The following is a 21,379-nucleotide window of genomic DNA, read 5'->3' on the forward strand; positions in this document are numbered from 1 at the left end:
TGTATACTTACGTTTTAAGTGTATACTTAAATGTTTTAAGAATTTTGCTTCCTTGGTTAAATTTAATCCTGAACATTTTATTCTTTTTTATGGTATTGTAAGTGGAATTGTTTTCTTAATTTCCCTTATGGGATGTGCATTGTTAGTGTATAGAAACGTTACTGATTCTTATTTCTAATAACATGCAGTTTTGCTGAATTTGTTTTATTCTAAAAGTTTTTTGGTCATCTTTAGAGTTGTACATATAAGGTTCTGTCGTCTGTGAATGAGGGATAATTTTACTTCTTTCTTTCCTCTATGGATGCCTTTTATTTTTCTTGACTAATTGCCCTGGCTAGGACTTCTAGTACAAGTGGCAAAAGTAGCCATTCTTGTCTTGTTCCTTATCTTAGAGGAAAAGTATTCAGTCTTCTATCAATGAGTGTTTCATTGATGAAACAGGTGGTTTTCATATGTGACCTTTATTATGTTGAGGTAATTTCCTTCTATTCCTATTTTGTTACGTGTTTTAATCATGAAAGGCTATTGAATTTTGTCAAGTGCTTTTTTCCATCAGTTCAGAGGATGATGTGTTTTTTTCCGTTCATTCTTTTAATGAGAGGTACGTTACATTGATCAGTTTTCATATGTTGAACCACTCTTGCATTTCTTGGACAAACCTCTCTTGGTAATGGTTTGTATTTTTTAATATGCTGCTGAATTCAGTTTGCTAGTATTTTGTTGAGGATTTTTGCACCATTGTCCACAGGGAAGAGAATAATTTATAGTTTTCTTTTGGTGTCTTTGGCTTTGGTATCAGTGTGATAATACTGGCCTCATGGGAGTTTGGAAATGTTCCCACCTCTTCAGTGTTTCTAGAAGAGTTTAAGAAGGATTGATGTTAATTCTTCTTTAAATGCTTGGTAGAATTTAGCAGTGAAGCCATGTGGTCCAGGACTTTCCTTTTTTGGAAAGTTTTTGATTACTTATTCTATCTTCTTACTGGTTATAGGTCTATTTGGATTTTGTTTCTTTTTTAAAAAATATAATTTTTATTTTATTTTATTTCTTTAGAGACAGGGTTTCGCCATGTTGCCCGGGCTGACCTCGAACTCCTGGGCTCAGGCAATCTTCCCACCTCCACCTTCCAAAGTGCTGGGATTACAGGCATGAGCCACCACACCCAGTCCAGATTTTCTGTTCCTTCATGATGCAGTCCTGGTAGGTTGTGTGTTTCTGAGAATTTGTCCGTTTCATCTAGGTTATCCAGTGTGTCAGTGTGTAATTGTTCATAGTACTAGTTTATAATCTTTTCTTATTTCTGTTAACATTTGTAATAATGCCCCCACTTTTATTCCCATTAGATGAAGAGACTTTAGTGTTCGTTCAGTGCCATATACTCCCACATCTCTTCCCTCCCAATAAAATTATATCCTGTTTGTATAAATCGGTGTTCTGGTTATATAATTATGATACTATTACAGATACTTCCTAGTGTCTCCAACATAGTTGTAAAACTCTCCAGATACTATTTTCTATTCAAATCAGAAGCATTTTTAGTTTCCTTTTTTTCCTGTGAAAACATTCCTTCTAAAAGCCTCTGACCTCCTGCTGTAGTCCCTACTGATTGCTCTTTGAACTTACTGTGCACAGCTGTCATCCTTTACTTCTCTCTTGTTTGGAGTCTTTGTTTTCTTGAGTCTGTCTTCCTTCCTTCCTTTTTTTTTTTTTTTTTTTTTTGATGGACAGCATGCTGTATTAGCTTCCTAGGAAAGGGTGCATCAGAGGTGATTTTCAAAAATCTTATATGTCTGAACATATTTTCATTTACATTACATGGCTAATTGATAGTTTGATGAGGAATAGAAATCTAAGTTGAAAATAATTTTACCTCAGAATTTTGAAGGCATCATTTTATTGTCTTCCATTTTCTAGTGTTGCTTTTGTGTATAATAGTCAGTGCCACTGTCATTCCTTATCTACATGGGTGACCTCTCTTCCTCTCCCTCCCAATCTGGTTGTTAAGATCTTTTCTATTCTGTTCTGAAATATACAGTCATGTCCTGTAGTATATATATTTTTTCATAAATGATACCGTGCACTCAGAGGGTTCTTTCAGTCAAAGTTCATGTCCTCCTGTTCTGGGAAATTGTTTTATGCTAGTTCTTAGATAATTTCTTCCCTCAGTTTTTTTCTAGTCTCTTTTCAGAACAACTAATTAGTTGGATTTTGGGTCTCTTGAACTAATCCTTTCATTTCCTCTCGTTTTCTCTTGTGTTTCCATCTGCCTCCAGCTTCTACTTTTAGTGAGATTTCCTGACTTAGAATCTGTCTTCATCACTGACTAGTGCTTGAGTATGTTACTTAATGTCTTTTGCTAGTTTCTCCAACTGTAGGATTAATTATTGAACTCATTTTAGAGGATTATTGTGAGAATTAAATGACTTACTGCATGTAAAGCATAGCACATAGAAAGTAATACATTGTGGCAGATGGCTTTCAGCTCTGGCTGTTATTGCTTCTTCAATTTTATTTTCATTTTTGATATCTTATTTTTAATTTTGGGAACTCTTTCTCCCTCTATTTTTATAGCAACTTTTTCTTCATGGGTACAGTAGCTTGTTGTAATTCTCTTTGAGTGTTAATTGCAGTTTTTTATTCTGTTTAGTTTTCTTCTTTCTTACATAGTTGCTTTTATCCAAATTCATTTTTGTTTCTTTTAGTTCCTTTCTTTCCTATGGAAGCTTTCCTCAAATGGCTAATGATCCTCATTGTTGGTCCATATTTAAGAGTAATGTAGCCGGGCAAAATGGCTCATGCATATAATCCTAGCACTTTGGGAGGCCGAGGCGGGCGGATTGCCTGAACTCAGGAGTTCAAAACCAGCCTGGGCAACATGGCGAAACCCCGTCTCTACTAAAATACAAAATATTAGCTGGGCATGGTGGTGTGTGCCTGTAGTCCCAGCTACTCAGAAGGCTGAGGCACAAGAATTGCTTGAACCCGGGAGGCTGAGATTGTACCACTGCACTCCAGCCTGAGTGACAGAGTGAGACTCTGCCTCAAAAAAAAAAAAAAAGAAGAAGAAGAAGAAGAACAGACTTCAGCTCAGCTGCAGGGAAATATGATCATGCCATTGCACTACAGCCTGGGTGACACAAGAAATAAAAATATTAAAAAAAAAGAATGAAGGACTTAAAACTGAAAACAAAAACCCCAAAAAAGTGTTTTTGTACATGTGTAAGCCTCATCAGCTAGCTTGATTTTACTGTGGATTGATTGGATAAGCACCCACACCGTAAGCTTCAGTACAAATGTTCCTTAACTTGCAGTGGGGTTGTGCCCCAATAAACTCATTATAGCTTGAAAATCTGTTGAATGCACCTAACCTACAGAACCTCATAGCTTAGTCGAACATACCTTAAACATGCTCAGAACACTTATATTAGCCTACAGTTGGGCAAAATCATGTAACACAAAGCCTATTTTATAATAAACTTGAATATCTCATGTAGCATGCTAGTATTAAATACTGTTCTGAAAGTCAAAAACAGAATGGTCATCTAGGTATTTAAAGCACTGTTTCTACTGAATGTGTATTGCTTTTGTACCATCATAAAGTAAGTTGAACCATTGTAAGTTGAGGACTGTTCGTCCATAGGTTTCCTTTCTGGAAACCTATTCAGTTTTTTCCAGCAAAAATTCTTCAGTTTCCTATCTGCAGGGTACCACATGTCTTGTTGCCAGTCTTTTTGTCCTTGCTTGTTTTAAAACTATGGCACAGGGGATAGGGTTGGCAGCATGGGGGTTGGAGGTTCACTTTGCAATACCGATACTTTCACTTGGTTTACTTCTGTGAAAACCGAAGAACAGGGCCGCCCTCCTTCATATGAAGATGTGTTTGATGTCTCAGGGTCTGGGACCTCTTTGGTTCACTCTTTGGTTCAAGTTATCCACAGACTATACCTCCTTTTTTCTGCAGTGATATGAGAGGTGGTGGTGATGGTGAGTTTACCTGGCTGTACCACATTCAACCAGTCCTCTGGTTTAGGGCCTGCTTCTCAACCCAGGTTTCTGTGGGACCAGGGGCTGAGCCTTTCCAAGGTTCTGGGGTGAAAATTAGCTTGCTTCTCATTAATATCCCCCCATAGTCATTTGGGGCTTTGTCCATTTTCCTAAATTAGTTTCCACTTCATCATCTGCTTTCTGTCCTCCAAAAGTATGTCAGCATCTGTGATCCACTATATCTCCTTGACTATTCTTTTTGTCTTTGTGGGTTTGTACATTTTTGTTTTTGTTCCTTTACTCATTGTTTAAGGTGGCTTGGTAAAGGGATAGAGATAAATGCGTGAGTATTTTCTGTACTTAACTGGAATTCAGGGAAAGTATTACTATTAGTAAACCAAATTGAAATTGTTCATTGATGGACTGCAAGGTATTCCAGAAATATTTCATTAATGTATCCATTCAGCAACTGTTTAAGGAGTGCTTACTGTGTACTAGGCATTGTTATAGTTTTCAAGATAAATATTCTGTTCGCATGAAGCTTTTATTCTATCAGGAAACAGACAATAAACAGCTAAACAAAAATAAAATGTGAAGAGAGCAGTAAATGCTATAAAGAAAAGGGAAGGGATCAAAAGTGACAGGAATTACTGTCTAAGCACATTCAGGGAGATTTTTTTCTGAGGGCAACATTTAAACAGAAACCTGAATGAAGTGAGAGAATTATTTGCGTGAGTGTCTGGGGGTTGGGGGTTACAGAGGTGGGGAACACTCCAGACAGGGAAGAAGTGGAGGAGCATGCTTGGTACAATAAAGGAATAATGAAGAGTCCTGTGTGGCAGCAGTGCAGGGAGGGAGGGAGGAAGAAGGTCATAGGAGATGAGGTCAGAGTGGGAGGTGCGGCCAGATCATTCTGGGTATTATAGGCCATGGTCAAGAGTTTGTATTTTATTTCACATAAAATATATTTTGGGGAGGTATTGGAGAGTTTTCAGCAAGAGAATGACCTATCTTTGGGGGTTGAATCACAAGCCTACCGATAATGTAAACTGCCACAGTCAGTTCCTGCCCTGACAGACCAAGCTCTCTTCCTTGATGGTGGGCAAATTTGGGGTTGCTCCCTATTTTAAAACCATTGCCACCCGTAGTCCCCACTGTAGAATTTCCTTAGGTGGCCATATTATATACTACGTGAACTCTGGCTTCCTTGGTTTTATACCTCATGGGCTGAGTTGTTAAGATTCCTACTCTTTTCCGGCATTGGGGTTGGGGGTGTTAGGGAACAGGGTCTCACTCTGTCACCTAGGCTGAAGAGCAGAGGTGTGATCACAGCTCACTGTAACCTTGAACTGCTGGGCTCAAGCAGTCCTCCCGCCTCAGCCTTCCAAGGAGCTAGGATTACAGGTGTGCACCATGACCCAGCTAATTAAAAAAAAAAAAAAAATGTTTTTTTGGTAGAGACAGGAACTCACTATGTTGTACAGGCTGCTCTCAAACTCCTGGCCTCAAGCCATTCTCCTGCCTCGGCCTCCCAAAGTGTTAGGATTATAGGTGTGAGCTGTCGTGCCCAGCCTAAAATTCTTACTCTTAAGAATGGGAAAGCAAGTGCTTCTACTATTATGTGATACATGTATTTCTGAAAAGTCTCGTACTTCTACCCACTAAAAATAAGAAAGCCACATGGAAAAATGGGGCTTGGAATAGACCAGAGAACTAACAAAAATAATAACAGTCCTAATAAAAATACTAGTTAAATACCTAGTTAACAAAACATGTTAAATTCCTAATAAACAGAGTAAATACAGGATTTCATCTTAAAAATGAAGTGAAGGTAGCTTTATGGCAGGGGTTGTGAAGAAAGGTTAACGATGCTGAGTAATTGCATAAATGGATAAAGCTTTGGGAGAAATGCATAAAGATAGAGGGGAACCATGCAATGAGCATTTTCAAGACAGCACACGGCCAGACTGAGAAAAGAGGAAGAACCTGGTTGAATAGGCATCATGTGTGACACGGTTCCCTGTAGCTTTCTGGCCAGTATACTTTGCATTCTGTGGCTGTTACTTAGTGATACAAAGCATTAAGGAATTGGGAGCTATCACCTGTGAATCAGACTGATTTCTACTGTTACACTGGCATCAGGTCTCTATTGACAATTTTATAGAATCAAATTCACGTTGCAGAACTAACTTTGCAACAGATCATACCATAGTAACAATAATAGCTATTAAACTTTGTGCCTTGGCACTGCTAAACACTGTACATATATCATCCTATTTAGTCTTAACATAAAGCCACAGGGTGCAATGGCTCACACCTGTAATCGCAGCACTTTGGGAGGCTGAGGCAGACGGATATCCTGAGCCCAGAAGTTCAAGACCAGACCGGACAATATGGTGAAACCTTGTCTCTATGAAAATATTAAAAAGTTAGGCCGGGCGCGGTGCCTCACGCCTGTAATCCCAGCACTTTGGAAGGCCAAGGCGAGTGGATCACAAGGTCAGGAGATCAAGACCACCCTGGCTAACACGGTGAAATCCCATCTCTGCTAAAAATACAAAAAATTAGCCAGGTGTGGTGGTGGGCGCCTGTACTCCCAGCTACGTGGGAGACTGAGGCAGGAGAATGGCATGAACCCAGGAGGTGGAGCTTGCAGTTAGCCGAGATCCCGCCACTGCACTCCATCCTGGGCGACAGAGCGAGGCTCTGTCTCAAAAAAAAAAAAAAAAAAAAAGAGTATTGATTCACATGATCACAAGGTGAAGTCCCACAGTAGGCCATCTGCAAGCTGAGGAGCAAGGAAGTCAGTCCGAGTCCCAAGTCCTCAAAAGTAGGGAGGCCAACAGTGCAGCCTTCAGTCGGTGGCCAAAGGCCTGAGAGCCCCTGGCAGGCCACTGGTATAGGTCCAAGAGTCTGAAAGCTGAAAAACTTGGAGTTCGATGTTCGAGGGCAGGAAGCATCCAGCACAGGAGAAAGATGGAGGCCAGAAGACATAGGCAGTCTAGTCCTTCCATGTTCCTCTGTACGCTTTTATCCTAGCTGGGCTGGCAGCTAACTAGATGGTGCTTTCTCAGATTGAGGGTGGGTCTGCCTCTCCTAGTCCACTGACTCAAATGTTAATCTCGTTTGGCAACACCCTCACAAACACACCCAGGAATAATACTTTACATCCTTCAGTCCAATCAGGTTGACACTTAATATCAACATCACACTGTCGCCCAGGCTATAGTACAACGACAGGGTTGTAGCTCACTGCAGCCTCACTCTTGGGCTCAAGCAGTCCTTCCACCTCACCCTTCCAAGTAGCTAGGACTACAGGTGTGCGCCACCATACCCAGCTATTTATTTACTTACTTAGTATTGTAGAGATGGGTTCTTGCTATGTTGCCCAGAGTGGTCTGCAACTCCTGGGCTCAAGCAGTTGTGAGCCACTGTGCCCATTCTAAATTTTTAAATTAGCTTGTTAGGGTTATACACATATGGAAACAAAAACCTGCTGACTGCTGACTTTTCAGAGTTGGAATTGCAAATACTTAAATGAATCAATTTAGAGAGAGTTGATCTCTTCATCATATTGAGTCTTCCGATCCATCATGGAAAATCTTTCAATTTATTTAAGTTTTCTTTGATTTTTTTTCTGCAAAAATTAAGCACGTCTTTATTTCCCAATGTTTTATGTTCTATGATGCTATTTATAAATATCTTATTGAAATTTTATTTTCTCTCACTGGTATATAGAAATGTAAATGATTTTGTTTATAGATTTTTTTAACAATCTTGCTCTTACGAATTCTAATAAATTCATTTAGATTTTTATGTTATCTATGATTTAATGACAGTCTTATCTTTTTCTTTCTAATCCTTATGTTTTTGTCTTGACTTATTCTGGCAGAGAGCTCCAGTACAGTGTTGAATGGAAGTGTTGATAGCAGGCATCCTTGCCTTGTTCCTCATCTTAAAAGGAATGATTTCAACAATTTGCTATGAGCCTTTATTCGATTAAGGACATTGGAATAAAAGTTGTTATATTCAGCAAATACTGAATTTTATCAAATGCTATTTTTAAAAATTTTTTTAATTTTTAATTTTGTGAATACATAGTAGGTGTATATATTTGTAGGGTGCATGAGATATTTTGGTACAAGTATACAATGCATAATAATTACATCAGGGTAAATGGGATATCCATTACCTCAAGCATTCATCATTTCTTTGTGTTATGAACATTCCAGTTGTACTCCCTCAGTTATACTGAAATGTACAACTTATTGCGGACTGTAATTACGCTGTAGTGCTATCAAATATTAGATCTTATTTATTGTATCTAACTATATTTTGTACCCATTAACCATCCCCGCCACTACCCTTCCTAGCCTCGGATAACCATCATTCCATTCTCTATCTCCATGAGTTCGATTGTCAGATGCTCTTTTTTTTTATGATCTGAGATGATCATATGATTTCTCTTTTTTGATCAGGTAATGTGAATTAGCTTGACTTTGTAATATTAAACCCATCTTGTATTCTGCAGTTAATCTCAACTTGATAGGTTAATCTGGATTATACTCTTTATACACACACACACACACACACACACACACACACATTCTTAGTTTGCTAACATTTTGTTTAGGGATTTTGCATCTGTGTTCATGAGTGAGATTAACTTTTAATTTTTCTTAAATTTATGCTAGCCTCATAAAATGAGTTGGGAGAAGGTTCCCTTTTCTCCTCCCTCCTATAATAATGTATATAAAATGAGAATTATTTGGTCCTTAAATGCTTATAGAACACACCAGTAAAACTGTTGGTGCCTGGAAAAATTTTTAACTACTGATAGAATTTCTTTAATGGTTAAGACTATTCGGATTTTTTAGTTGTGATTGACTCAGTTTTAATAAGTTGTACCTTCTTCAAAGAATTTGTTCATTTTGTCTGAGTTTTCAAATTTATTGGCATCTAGTTTTTAGAACATCCTTGTTTTGTATTTTTTTATTATTATATTTTTTTATTTTTGAGATGGAGTTTCACTCCTGTTGCCAAGGTTGGAGTGCAATGGCGCGATCTTGGCTCACTGCAACCTCCACCTCCCGGGTTCAAGCAGTTCTCCTGCCTCAGCCTCCCGAGTAGCTGGGATTACAGGCATGAGCCACCACGCCTGGCTAATTTTGTATTTTTAGTAGAGATGGGATTTCTCCATGTTGGTCAGGCTGGTCTCGAACTCCCGACCTCAGGTGATCCACCTGCCTCAGCCTCCCAAAGTGCTGGGATTACAGGCGTGAGCCACCATGCCTGGCCTTGTTTTCTATTTTTAATGTTTGAAGTATCTCCAGTTATAGTCTCCTTTGCAATCCTAGTATTATTTGTCATCTCTCTTTTTTTCCCTGGTCATTTTCACCAGAGTTGTTTTATCACTGATTAATTTGTCTTTATTATTTTCTTCCTTCTACTTTCTTTGCACCTATTTTGCTATTCTTTTTATAAATTTTTAGGATAGATACTCAGCTTATTGATATCTCAGCCTTTCTTCTTTTCTAATATAAGCATTAGGCTGTATATTGTCTTCTGAGTATAGCTCTAGCCACATCTATCCCTAGGCAACCACTGATCTTCTAATTGTTTTAGATGGATTTGCGTTTTCTAGAATTTTCTATTAAAGAAATCATGTGTCCACTTTTTTTGTCTTGCTTCTTTCATTTAGCGAAGTTATTTGAGACTCATCCGTATTGTTGCATATATCAGTATTTAATTCCTTTTTACGTTGTATCCATTGTATAGATATGCTTAATCCATTCACCTGTTGATGGACATTTGGGTTACTTCCAGTTTTTGACTATTACAACTAAAGTTGCTGTGAACATTTGTGTATGTCTTTGTGAGAACATATGCTTTTCTTTTTCTTGGGTAGATAGCTAGGAGTGGAATTGCTGGATCATATGGTGGTTTTTTTTTTTAAAGAGACTGCCAAATTGTTTTCCAAAGTCATTGTATGAGTTCATATTCCTGCTTGCAGTGCAGGAGAGTTCTAGTTGCCCTACATCCTTGCCAACTCTTAATATTGTCAGTCTTTTTACTCTTAGGCATTCTAATAGATGTGTACTAGCTCTTAATTGTAATTTTAATTTGCATTTCTCTGATGACTAATAATGTTGAACATCTTTTCATGTGATTATTTGCCATCCATACATCATCTTTGATGAAGTGTTTTATCAAATCTTTTGCCTATTATTAAAATTGAGTTATTTCTTTTCTTGAGTTTTGGGAGTTCTTTATATATTCTGGATAAGATACATGTCCTGTATGAGCTATATGGTTTGCAAATGTTTTTCTCCCAATCTATGGCTTATATTTTCATTATCTTGGCAGAGTCTCTTGAAGAATAGATTTTTTTATTTTGATAGTGGTTGTTTTAAATTTTTATGAATCATGCTTTTAATGTCATATTTTAAAATCTTCGCCTAATCCAAGGTCACATTTTTCTCCTGTGTTTTCACTAAAAGTTTTATAGCTCTAGGTTTTACATCTGTGATTACCTTTTTGTTACGTTTTAATTTAATCACAATGTAATCAGAGGATCTGATCTTTATGATACTGATTCTTTGAAATTGGCTTAATTTATTTTTAGTTTATGTTTTCTTCCAGAATTTTTGTTAAGTATTTACATCCATGTTTATGTAGCTATAGAAATATATAGGTTTTTAAAATTTAAACTAAATGGAATCACACTGGTTATGATGTTCTGAAAGCTGATTCTTTTAACTGTCTCAGATTTAGAGATACACATAATTCCTTTTTACTCTCATATTTTATAGATTAGAGCTATATTTATTTAGCTACTCCTCTAAGATGTGCATTTAAGTTTGCACATTGAAGTATTTTCCAATTAGATGCACATTTAAGTTTTTTCCAGATTTTCTCAAGCATAAATAGTACAGTGATGGACATCTTTATATATGCCTCCTTGGGCTCATATGTGGGAGTATCTCTGTAGACTAGAAGTAGAATTTGAAATTAAAAGCTATCTGGGTCAAAGTGTGTCTTCTAAGGGTTTTTCTTTTTTTTCCCAACAGTTTTTTAACAGTCACATAACTTCATATGCAAGAAGTAGCACCATTAACTAGATCAGTTATTAATTCAGCAGGTATGCATCGAGTACATACTGTGAGAACCTTCCTCTTAGGGGTTTCCAATTCCTTCAGACTCAGTGCCCCCTTTTTAAACAGTATTTTTTTAAAGACCCTTTTACTGTACCAAGGTGATACTCATAGAAAATAAAAGCATTCATATGCAAATAACTTACAAAAATCAATATATAATAATAATTATATTCAGGAGAAATAAAAGGAAAGCAGCCTATTATGAAATAATGTGTATTTCATGTAAATGCTTAGGAATAACTACCAAAGATGATATGACAAGTCACATACTTCTTAAGTAAGTACATACTTAAATAAGGGTACTAAGAAGATACAATTGTTTTGTAGATGAAATGTAGAGTCAGCTGGAATAAATGTTAAATGGAATTAATGTTAGAATAAGTGAGACTAGACTTACTTATGATAAAAACGGTTGACAGGAGGAGTTATTAAGAAGGAGAAAATTGAGGAAGGATGATGTCCTTGCAAAAGATCCATACCTTATGTGGAAGTGTTGTGCCAAAATGATTTCTTACGGTATGTCTTGCCACAGAGTAATGACATTCTGTCATAGAGAACATCTCCTTTCTTGAAATCTGTGTCTGAGGTATACCTTTAGTGTCTGATACTTTAAAAAAGACCTTGGAAAGCATATCCTTTTATTGGTCACAGAAAATAGAGAATTAGAAAATGAAAGCATTTTGTCTACCAGAATAAAAAATCAAAAATTAGCATCTGCTATGGGAGAAGATAACATCTTATTCAGGGTCACAGGTTGAGCATTGCACTTGATTTCTTCAGGGAAATTGTTAATAGGAGTGCCACCCAAACGTGAACGTAATTCTAAGTGTAGTGTGTTTCCATGTAATCAGCTGCCCACCAGGATGATTCAGGTTAGCTTTGTAATTGCAGAAGCAGCCTAGTTTTTTTAAATCTTTAGTAGCAATTAATAGGCAAGGAGACTGATAATTATGTTTCACAGTAGACTTTTATACCTCATTTTACCAAGAAAAAAAGTTTCTGTGTTATTTCTTAGATGGGTAAGAAGAGTTTTTATTTATTTTTTATTTTATTTGAGGCAGATTCTCACTCTGCCACCCAGGCTGGAGTCCAGTGGCAGGAACACAGCTCACTGCAATTTCAATCTCCTGGGCTCAAGCAATCCTCCCACCTCAGCCTCCCAAGTAGCTGGGACTGCAGGCACATGCCACCACACCCAGCTGGTTTTTTTATTTTTTGTAGAGATGAGGTCTCTCTGTGTTACCCAGGATGGTCTTGAACTCCGGGGCGTAAGCAATCCTTCCGCCTTGGCCTCGCAGAGTGCTGGGATTAGAGGTATGAGCCACCATGCCCTGCCAAGTTTTTCTTTTAAAAGTGAAGAAAAATATGAAGAACACCAGTAATTTCAGATGTGGGGTAGAAAATAAGATCATTCATACTGCTAATTTCTAGCAATATTTGCTGGTTTTAAAAGGTAGCCTTGTATTTGAAAGTTTTTTTTAATTATAAAAGTTGTTAATTTCTTTATTACCACACTATGTAAAAATAGTCATTTCCACCTCTACCTCTGTCACTTCTTAATCTCCTTACTCGTACTTGTCTTCCTCCATAATGCTTCTCATTATCTACAAACATATATACTTAATTTGTTTATCACATTAGAATGTAGATTCCAGGAAGACCAGAACTTTATTTCATTTGCTGTTGTGTTCCCAGTGCCTGAAATACAGTGCCTGGAACACAGTGAGCAATCAAGATACGTTTATTGAATGAATAAATCTTTTGCTCTTTTCTCACGTGCATATCATCTGGTTGTAATCACAGTGTGCATATAACTTTGTGTCTTGTGTTTTTATAAAATGTTATTACACAGAATAAATATCATCTTTTCCCCAGGTTGCCACATAACCTGCTTTGATCATTATTTTTCTGTATCCCGGAAACATAGCATAATTTACTAACCCGTCTCCTAGTTTGGGACATATAAATTGCTTTTGATCTTTCTGTATTATAAATTAATAGTATATTCATGTGAGGATGAAAAGATGCACAGATGGACAGACAGATGTATATATAGACAGACAGGTAAACTTTACAGTGGAAGAACTGGAGAAGTAGCTCTGCAGCTTGGAACAACACCCAGAATCACACTGCAGAGCCAGTCTCGTGAAGCTATGGCTGTACAGCCAGTACCACAAAGCTTGGAGATGGACCTCCAGCTTCCAGTGCCAAGTCTCTCAGACCAGTGAATCTTATTGACCCCCTGCTCTCCTCCAAGGGAAGCAGGACTGCAAATATCTGGTATTGTCTGTTTTTACAGGTAGAGAGAGGCACTGCCTCACCCAAACCACTGGGAGAAGGAATTCTTATATTTCCTAGAAAAATAATTTAGGACCACACACTGATAAAGCCATTTCTATATTTAGGATAATTTATATAACGTGGGTTCCCAGAAGTATAATTATCAGGCCAGAGGGCAGGAGCAAATTCTGATGATGAAGGACCAGATCTCTTGACCTCAATGGTTTAGTCTTGGAACTTTTTGCTTCCTTTATTAATCTTTCCTTTTACACATACGTAAAGCACATTTATTGGCTGTACTTATTCACTTAGTGAATAGAGTGTTTTGTTTCTTAGAACTTTAAATAGTTGTTGAGGTGAAGGGACTTATAGTCAAAGGAGAATCATCATCTCTTTTTTTTCCCCTCTTGATTAATTTTTTTTCTCTTTTAGATAGCGGTGCCTGGGTTTGTGCTAGAATCTGAAAATGGATGACATATTCATCCATTCATCACATATGGTGAATTTATTTCACCATAAATTGTTTTATGTTAGTGCACATGCAAACTTCTGTTTGTATGTGTGGAGTGGAAATTTCATCATTTATAGCAGTGTGAATTTATTCTCAAATGTTTTCTTTCAGCCTCCTTCTCCACCCTATGTAAAAGTAAATATCCGTAATACCTCTTTTCTCCTACTCTTCCCCTAGGCTTTTGTTTTGTTTTTGCTGATTGGTCAGCATTCACTTCATATCAGTTGTTGAGGTATAAAAACCAAGTAATGAGTCCCCATGTCCATCAGGGGGCTACAGCCTGCCTTAGTGGCAGGTGCTCTTGTCTCAAAGCCAGAGAACCTAGGTGTTAGTTTCAGCCTCACCACTAATGCACTGTGACTTCAGGAGCTCCCTCCCCTCAGTGGCTTTGGGGAAGGGGTGGGACTTAGAGTTGAAGTCATTCTGTGGACCTATTACAGTGTTCTTCATTTGCTCTGACTACATTTGCGTATCTTCCTGCCAGAATGGGAGGCTTCTGAGTCCAGAACTCAATCTTGTATTCATGTGCCCGGTGCGTGTTGGGTGGATATGGTTAAATGAGCCCAGTTTTGTTGTTCTTGTGGGTCTTTTCTATGTAACACAGTCCATATATTCTTGCCTACACTTTAAGTGAAAGAGGAACTTGTAAAGACCTCCTATCTTTAAGAATATTAGGGCCAGGCATGGTAGCTCACACCTGTAATTCCAGTGCTTTGAGAGGCCCAGGTGGAAGGATCACATGAGTTCAGGTATCAGTCTGGGCAACATAGTAAGACCCTGTGTCTACAAAAACTAAATTAAAGAAAAAATTTGACTGGGTGTGGTGGCTCACGACCTGTAATCCCAACGCTTTGGGAAGCTGAGGGAGGCAGATCACATGAGGTCAGGAGCTTGAGACCAGCCTGGCCAACATGGTGAAACCCCATCTCTACTAAAAATACAAAATTAGCAGGGTGTGGTGGCAGGCACCTGTAATCCCAGCTACTCGAGAGGTGGAGATAAGAGAATCGCTTGAACCTGGGAGATGGAGGTTGCAGTGAGCCGAGATTGCACTCCAGCCTGGGCGACAAGAGCAAGACTCCATCTCAAAAAAAAAAAAAAAAAAAAAAAAAAAAATTACTGGGTGTGGTGGCACATACCTGTAGTCCTGGCTACTCTGAGAGGCTGAGGCAGGAGGATCACTTGAGCCCAGGAGGTCAAGGCTGCAGTGAGCCATGATTGCACCACTGGCACTGCAGCCTGAGTGACAGAGCCAGACCTTGTCTTTATTTAATAAAAAGAAGAATATTAGATTACTGCACCGTTAGGTTGAAGATGCTATATGCAGAACATGGTGTTTCTGGGCTCTCCAGGTCTTTCCTCCTCTCCTTGTAGGTTTAAAAATGTTTTGAGTTGGTTGGACTCCATGGTAACATTCTTGTGAACTTTCAGTTGAGGAAAGGTGATCTTTAAGGGGAAAGGGGTGGAGGGAGAGAGAGTTTAACAGTGGCAGCAATCTAGGTGAAGGGAGAACTTTGTAAAGCAGAGTACATCTTCCCTAGAAGCAATTAGTCATATTATTAGACAAACTGTTTCAGCAGCTGGCAAAACAGCAGGAACATGTCGATTTTGCTTCCTTGGTTACAGGCAGTGATAGTGTACTTGACCTTCCGCAGAGCTGGGTCACAGAGAGGGCATCTTTAAACAGCCCTGTCTGGTTTGGGTGAATGGAATCTGCACTGGCAGGGTTTGAAAGCAAATGCCTGTGAGTTCCCTCAACCAACCTCTGGCCTTTTGGGTTGGACTCTCTTTGGCCTGGGAGGTTGCTGAGGAAAAATATAAATAAAGCTGCAGGGAGCCATTGGCATGGTAAGTGTGAGTGTCCTAAAGAAAACAAGACTGCAGTATTGAAGTCTATTCTCTTTCCCTGTGTTTCTGGGGGAGAAGCCTTGTAATGCAATGTATTTCAGTAGTCACTTATTTTTACAGCAGTTAGTATAATAGCAGTGGATTTAGACACCTATTGTATATTTGAAGAAATTCAATTTAATGTCTTGCTATGCTAAGCTCTTAGCAAATCGTTTCTTAATAGGAACTTGTATTTGAATATGCTGGCTAAATTCAGGTGGGGCAAAAGTTGTTTGTTGTTTTTGGCAGGTTACTCTGCCTGTGAACAGTTTATGAACCATATTGCTCTTAAATATCTCATTGTTTTACATAATTGTGGGGAGTGGTTGTTGACTTGGGATTTTTGTTTTTTTGTGACAAGAAATTTAGCGCTAAGTTTTACCTTTTTAAAATCTCTATTGCCAACTGTAAAATTCAAAACTGGCTAATGAATTCTGATATAAATGATGCTGGTTTATAATATTTAGGTTTCATTCCCTCATTAGCTTTACTGTAAAGAAGAGCTGGATATATATGTCATCAAGAGAAGTAGTTCTTTACTAACACTGTTATTGTAAGGTTCCAGTCCTTTGAGGACTGGAACTGCACATAAAAGTCAGCAGCCTCCTGTGGATTCTTCTCGCTGATGCAAGTTGCTGCACAAAGGGGGTTAATCTCTTTGCCCATTGGCCCTTCAACACACTTACTATTTAATGGTCCTTTGAAATAAACTAAAGGAGGGTATGTGGTACATTTCAGTTCAAGCTGGAGGTGTCCCCTGCCTAACACCCTTTACCCTACTTAAGGGTTTTACATTGTTCATGATTTCACTGAAGTGTTGAGAAGTACTGAGTTCCTGTTTGAGATTTGTAACACTAGATCTGCACAATGTTTTTTCACAGAGTGTAACTCTGTTATCCTATTAGTAACCCATGAGAATTTTTGTAGCCAAAATCCAGAATAAGTTATAGATTTGGAAACTCTTAATATTGCACATTTAATTCAATGAAATGAGCATCTTTTTCTCTTTTTTAATCCCTTTTTTCTTTTTTTTTTTTCTTTTTCTTTTTTTTTTTTTTGGAGATAGGGTCTTGCTATCTCAAAGGCTGGAGCACAGTGGTGCCATCATAGCTTACTGTCACTGTAGCCTCAAACTCCTGAGCTCAAGTGCTCCTTCCGCCTCAGCCTCCTAAGCAGCTGGGACTGCAGGCATGCGACACCACGCCTGGATAATGTTTTTAATTTTTAGTAGGGATGGGGTCTTGCAATGCTGTCCAGGCTGGTACTCAAACTCCTGGCCTCAAGTGATCTTCCTACCTCGCCCTCCCAAACTGCTGTGATTATAGACATGAGCCGCTGCACCTGGCCTGTGAGCATCTTCTTCAACCTAGATGTTCATTTTTCAGCAAGTGATTCCATGTAAACGTCAGAAATTTTTCCTGACAATTATTTCCTTATAAAACAAACAAACAACAAAAACAACAACAACAAAAACCCTGCTGCCAAAGCAATGTCATGCCATTATGGAATAGAGGAGGTTCTCATTCCAGGGTGAAGATGTATGAACTTCCTCAGCAGCCTCATAAACCCCCCTGTGTCGGTGGAAGCCAGTACTCCTTGGTTTATATAATGAACTGCCAGGGCAGGTGTTGTGCTGTACCTCCAGGGTGTGTAATTAGCAGACAGGCACAAGAGTAGAGTAAAGCAAAGCAAAGTCTAGGCAGAGTCCCAGGATCAAAGGCTTAAGACAGAGACTGCTTATTCATCCCCTAAGGTATTCATTCCCTAAGTGTTCATTCACTAAGCATTCATTGTGGGCCTAATATGTGCCTGGCCTTGGGAATAAACAGAGAAATAGGAAATGTGGTGTTCTGTGGAGAGTACTAAGGTGCAGGGACTGTGGGAACCCAGAGGAGGGCATTTGTATTAACCTGAGGGGTGTCAGGAAAGGCTGGCCAGAGGAGCATGGCTTTTATTAAATTATTTAGTGTTTAATAAAACATTTGTGTGTTCTGCAAGCGTGGTTACCTTTACAAAGGATGTGAAATGGAACAGATGATTTTACCCTCTAAGTATGAGTTTGGAGACCAAGCCTTGGAAGGCCTGTGTCTAAAGATATTTCACACCCAGCTTGCCCATGGTTTTAATTGAGTCCTTTGGACTGGCAGTTTTCCTGTCAAGGTAAAATGCCCTAACCAAGGTATAACACACACCTGGGTGTTGTCAGGCATTTATACAGTGTAAACTAAGTGATCCTGTCCTTTGCAACTTGAGCAGGTTGAAAGGGTAGAAAATAGGATAAGGCAGAAGCCAAGACTGACATTAGGCACTGAGGTGTGGGCAGGAAAAAATAGAAAGGAAATGCTTCAACTAGTCAGAAATGCATCTAATATTTTTATATCCTTTTTACCAAACTGACTTTTTATTGCTGTGCTGATGAGTCTCAATAAAATATTTCTGGGAAAAAAGGCCAAGCATGGTGGCTCACGTCTGTAGTCCTAGCCCTTTGGGAGGCCAAGACAGGCGGATCACCTGAGGTCAGGAGTTCGACACCAGCCTGGCCAACATGGTGAAACCCCGTCTCTACTAAAAATACAAAAATTAGCCGGGCATGGTGGTGGGTGCCTGTAATCCCAGCTGCTCGGGAGGCTGAGGCAGGAGAATCGCTTGAACCTGGGAGGCGGAGGTTACAGTGAGCCGAAGCTGCATCACTGCACTCCAGCCTGGGCGACAGGAGCAAAACTCCATCTCAAAAAAAAAAAAAAGAAATGTTTCTGGAAAAAAAGTAAATTTCCTTCCTTGATGTCTATTCATAATTATCAGACTGTAAATTCATACAACTGCAAGAATTTCTTAGCGGTCCCATCATAACATCACTTTGCCTTCATGCAAGACCATATCTCAGCTGCCTCTGGTGCCACTAGAACATACCTTTTTTCTAATGGCTTCAGGAGTAGGGGATCCCAAACATTTTCTGTTTAACCTGTCACTTCCAGAGTTAGTCGTCTTTTCACTGAATCTCAGGGCTATTCACTCAATCTAAATTTATTACTGAGCCTACAGGGAGCCCATTGCCAGTGTGACCCATGCCCCCTCTCAGGTAAAAGGTCTTTTGGGCTTCTCATATCAAGGGAATAAATAAAATTTGCAGATGTATCCCTGAACAGGTGAGGAAGCCAAAATCCAGGGAGTTTAAACTGTACCTCAGGCAAGGTAGCAAAGCCAAGGGACAGCAGTCTCAGCGCCCAACCTGTGCTTTCCAGTAACTGTTTGTCCTCCACAGCAGCTTAGAGGCAGGGCCACATCTGGTTGCCCTGTGCGCACAACCCCAACATGGCACAGAGTAAGTGCTTACCAGGTTCCGGTAAAGCATAGACCACTGTCACTTTGTTTTAATGACATAGAAAACTTTCTGAGATATGTGAAATACTTTTTGAATAGTGTTTTTAAATTTTTGTTTTTTTATCCACTCATCTGCGTACTGATTTTAAATAAACTTTTTATTGTAGTATAACATACCTAAGTTTAAAATTCATCAGCTTATGATGAATTATCACAGAGAAAACATTTCTATATACTCACCACCCAAGTTAAGAACAGAATAGAAATTTCCTGCAGCCCAGAAGCTCTCCTTATGCCCCCTCCCAATCATTACCTGCACCTTCTTCCTTAAAGATGAACTCTACCCCAGCCCCTTATACCATGGGTTGAATTCGTTGTTGTTGTTTATTCATTCTTTTTTTTTTTTTTTTTTTTTTGAGGCAGAGTCTCACCCTGTCGCCAGGCTGGAGTGCAGTGGTGCAATCTCAGCTCACTGCAACCTCTGCCTCCTGGGTTTAAGCGATTCTTCTGCCTCAGACTCCCGAGTAGCTGGGACTACAGATGCGCACCACCACGCCCAGATAATTTCTGTATTTTCAGTAGAGGTGGGGTTTCACCATGTTGGCCAGGATGGTCTCAATCTGTTGACCTCATGATCCGCCAACCTCGGCCTCCCAAAGTGCTGGGTCTGCAGATGTGAGCTGCCACACCCAACCTATTCATTCTTTAAAAAAAAAAAAAAAAGCCAGCTGTGGTGGAGTGTACCTGTAGTCCCAGCTACTCAGGAGGCTGAGACAGGAGGATCGCTTGAGCCCAGGAGTTCCAGGCTGCAGTGAGCTATGATTGTGCCACTGCACTTCAGCCTGGGTGACAGAACAAGACCCTGTCTCTAAAAAAAGAAAAGAAAAATTCACAGCTCTATTAAGATATAATTCATATACCATACAATTCACTTTTTTTTTTTTTTTTTTTTTGAGATAAGTTCTCATTCTGTCACCCAGGCTGGAGTGAATTTGCACAATCATAGCTCACTGCAGCCTTGACCCTCCGGTCGAGTTGAACCCTCTGGGTTCAAGTGAGTCTCCCACCTCAGCCTCCTAAGCAGCTGAGACCACAGACACACGCCATCACGCCTGGCTAGTTTTTTTAATTTTTTAATAGAGACCAAGTTTCACTATGTTGCCCAGGCTGGCAGTTCACCTATTTAAGGTGTAGAATTCTGTGGCTTTTCGTATATTTACAATATTGTGCAGCCATCGCTAATACCTAATTTCAGAACATTTTCTTTACCCCCTCAAAAAAAAAAAAAAAAACCCCACACTCCTTAGCTCTCACCCCCCAGCCCTAGGCAACTGCTACTTTACTTTCTATCTTTATATTTGTTCTGGACATTTCATATAAATTGAATCATATAGTCTTTTGTGACTGGCTTCTTTTACCTAGCATAATGTCTTTAAGGCTTATCCATGTTGTAGCATGTACCAGTACTTCGTTTCATTATTGCCAAATAATATGCCATTGTATGGATATACCACATTTTATCTATTCATCAGTTAATGGACTTGGGCGTTTTTACTTTTTGGCTATTAGGAATAATGCTGTGAACATTGTGTACCAGTTTTTCTGTGGACACGTTTTCATTACGTGTGTGTGTGTGTGTGTGTGTGTACACCTAAGAGTGGAATTGCTGGTCAAATAGTAACTATTTTCAAACTTTTGAGGAACTGCCAGACTGTTTTTCAAAGAGACTGCACCATTTTATGTTCCCACCAGCTGTGTATGAAGGATCTGGTTTCTCCTCAACCTTGCTAACATTTGTTATCCTGCATCTTTTTTATTGTAGCATCCCTAGAGGGTGTGAAGTGGTATCTTATTGTGATTTTTATTTGTATTTCCAGTGATATTGAATATTTTTTCAAGTGCTTATTGGCCATTTTGTATATCTTCTTTGGAGACATGTCTGTTCAATCCCTTTGCTCATTTGTAATTGGTTTTTGTCTTCTTTTCATTGAGTTATAAGGGTTCTTCATATATTCTGAATAAAAGTCCCTTATCAAATGTGATTTGAGAATTATTTTCTCCCATTGTATCAGTTTTCTTTTTCACTTTCTTACCGTCTTGAAGCACAAAAGATTTTAATGTTGGTAAAACCCATTTTATGTATTTTGTTGTTGTTGCTTTTGCTTCAAGTGTAATACATTAAGAAACCATTGCCTAATCCAAGGTCATGAAGATTTGCACCTGTGTTTTTTAATTTTTG

At 38.9% G+C, this 21,379-nt stretch overlaps 1 protein-coding gene across 24 annotated transcripts in view; it reads left to right on the forward strand.

Moving 5' to 3' along the window:
- The window catches only part of NR2C2 (nuclear receptor subfamily 2 group C member 2), a 101,691-nt gene that overhangs the window by 27,323 nt on the left and 52,989 nt on the right, over positions 1-21,379 (forward strand). The window contains exon 1 of one of the 24 annotated variants that reach the window (XM_047448833.1): positions 1,721-15,780. The exons of the other annotated variants lie outside the window; for them this stretch is intronic. Within the exon in view, the coding sequence (XP_047304789.1) occupies positions 15,778-15,780 (3 nt within the window). The 5' untranslated portion in view covers positions 1,721-15,777. Of the gene's footprint in view, positions 1-1,720; positions 15,781-21,379 lie in introns of those variants that run through there. 24 annotated transcript variants of the gene reach the window in all.

The sequence above is a fragment of the Homo sapiens genome, chromosome 3, assembly GCF_000001405.40.
Source record: "Homo sapiens chromosome 3, GRCh38.p14 Primary Assembly".
In the NCBI taxonomy this organism is placed as follows: Eukaryota; Metazoa; Chordata; class Mammalia; order Primates; family Hominidae; genus Homo; species Homo sapiens.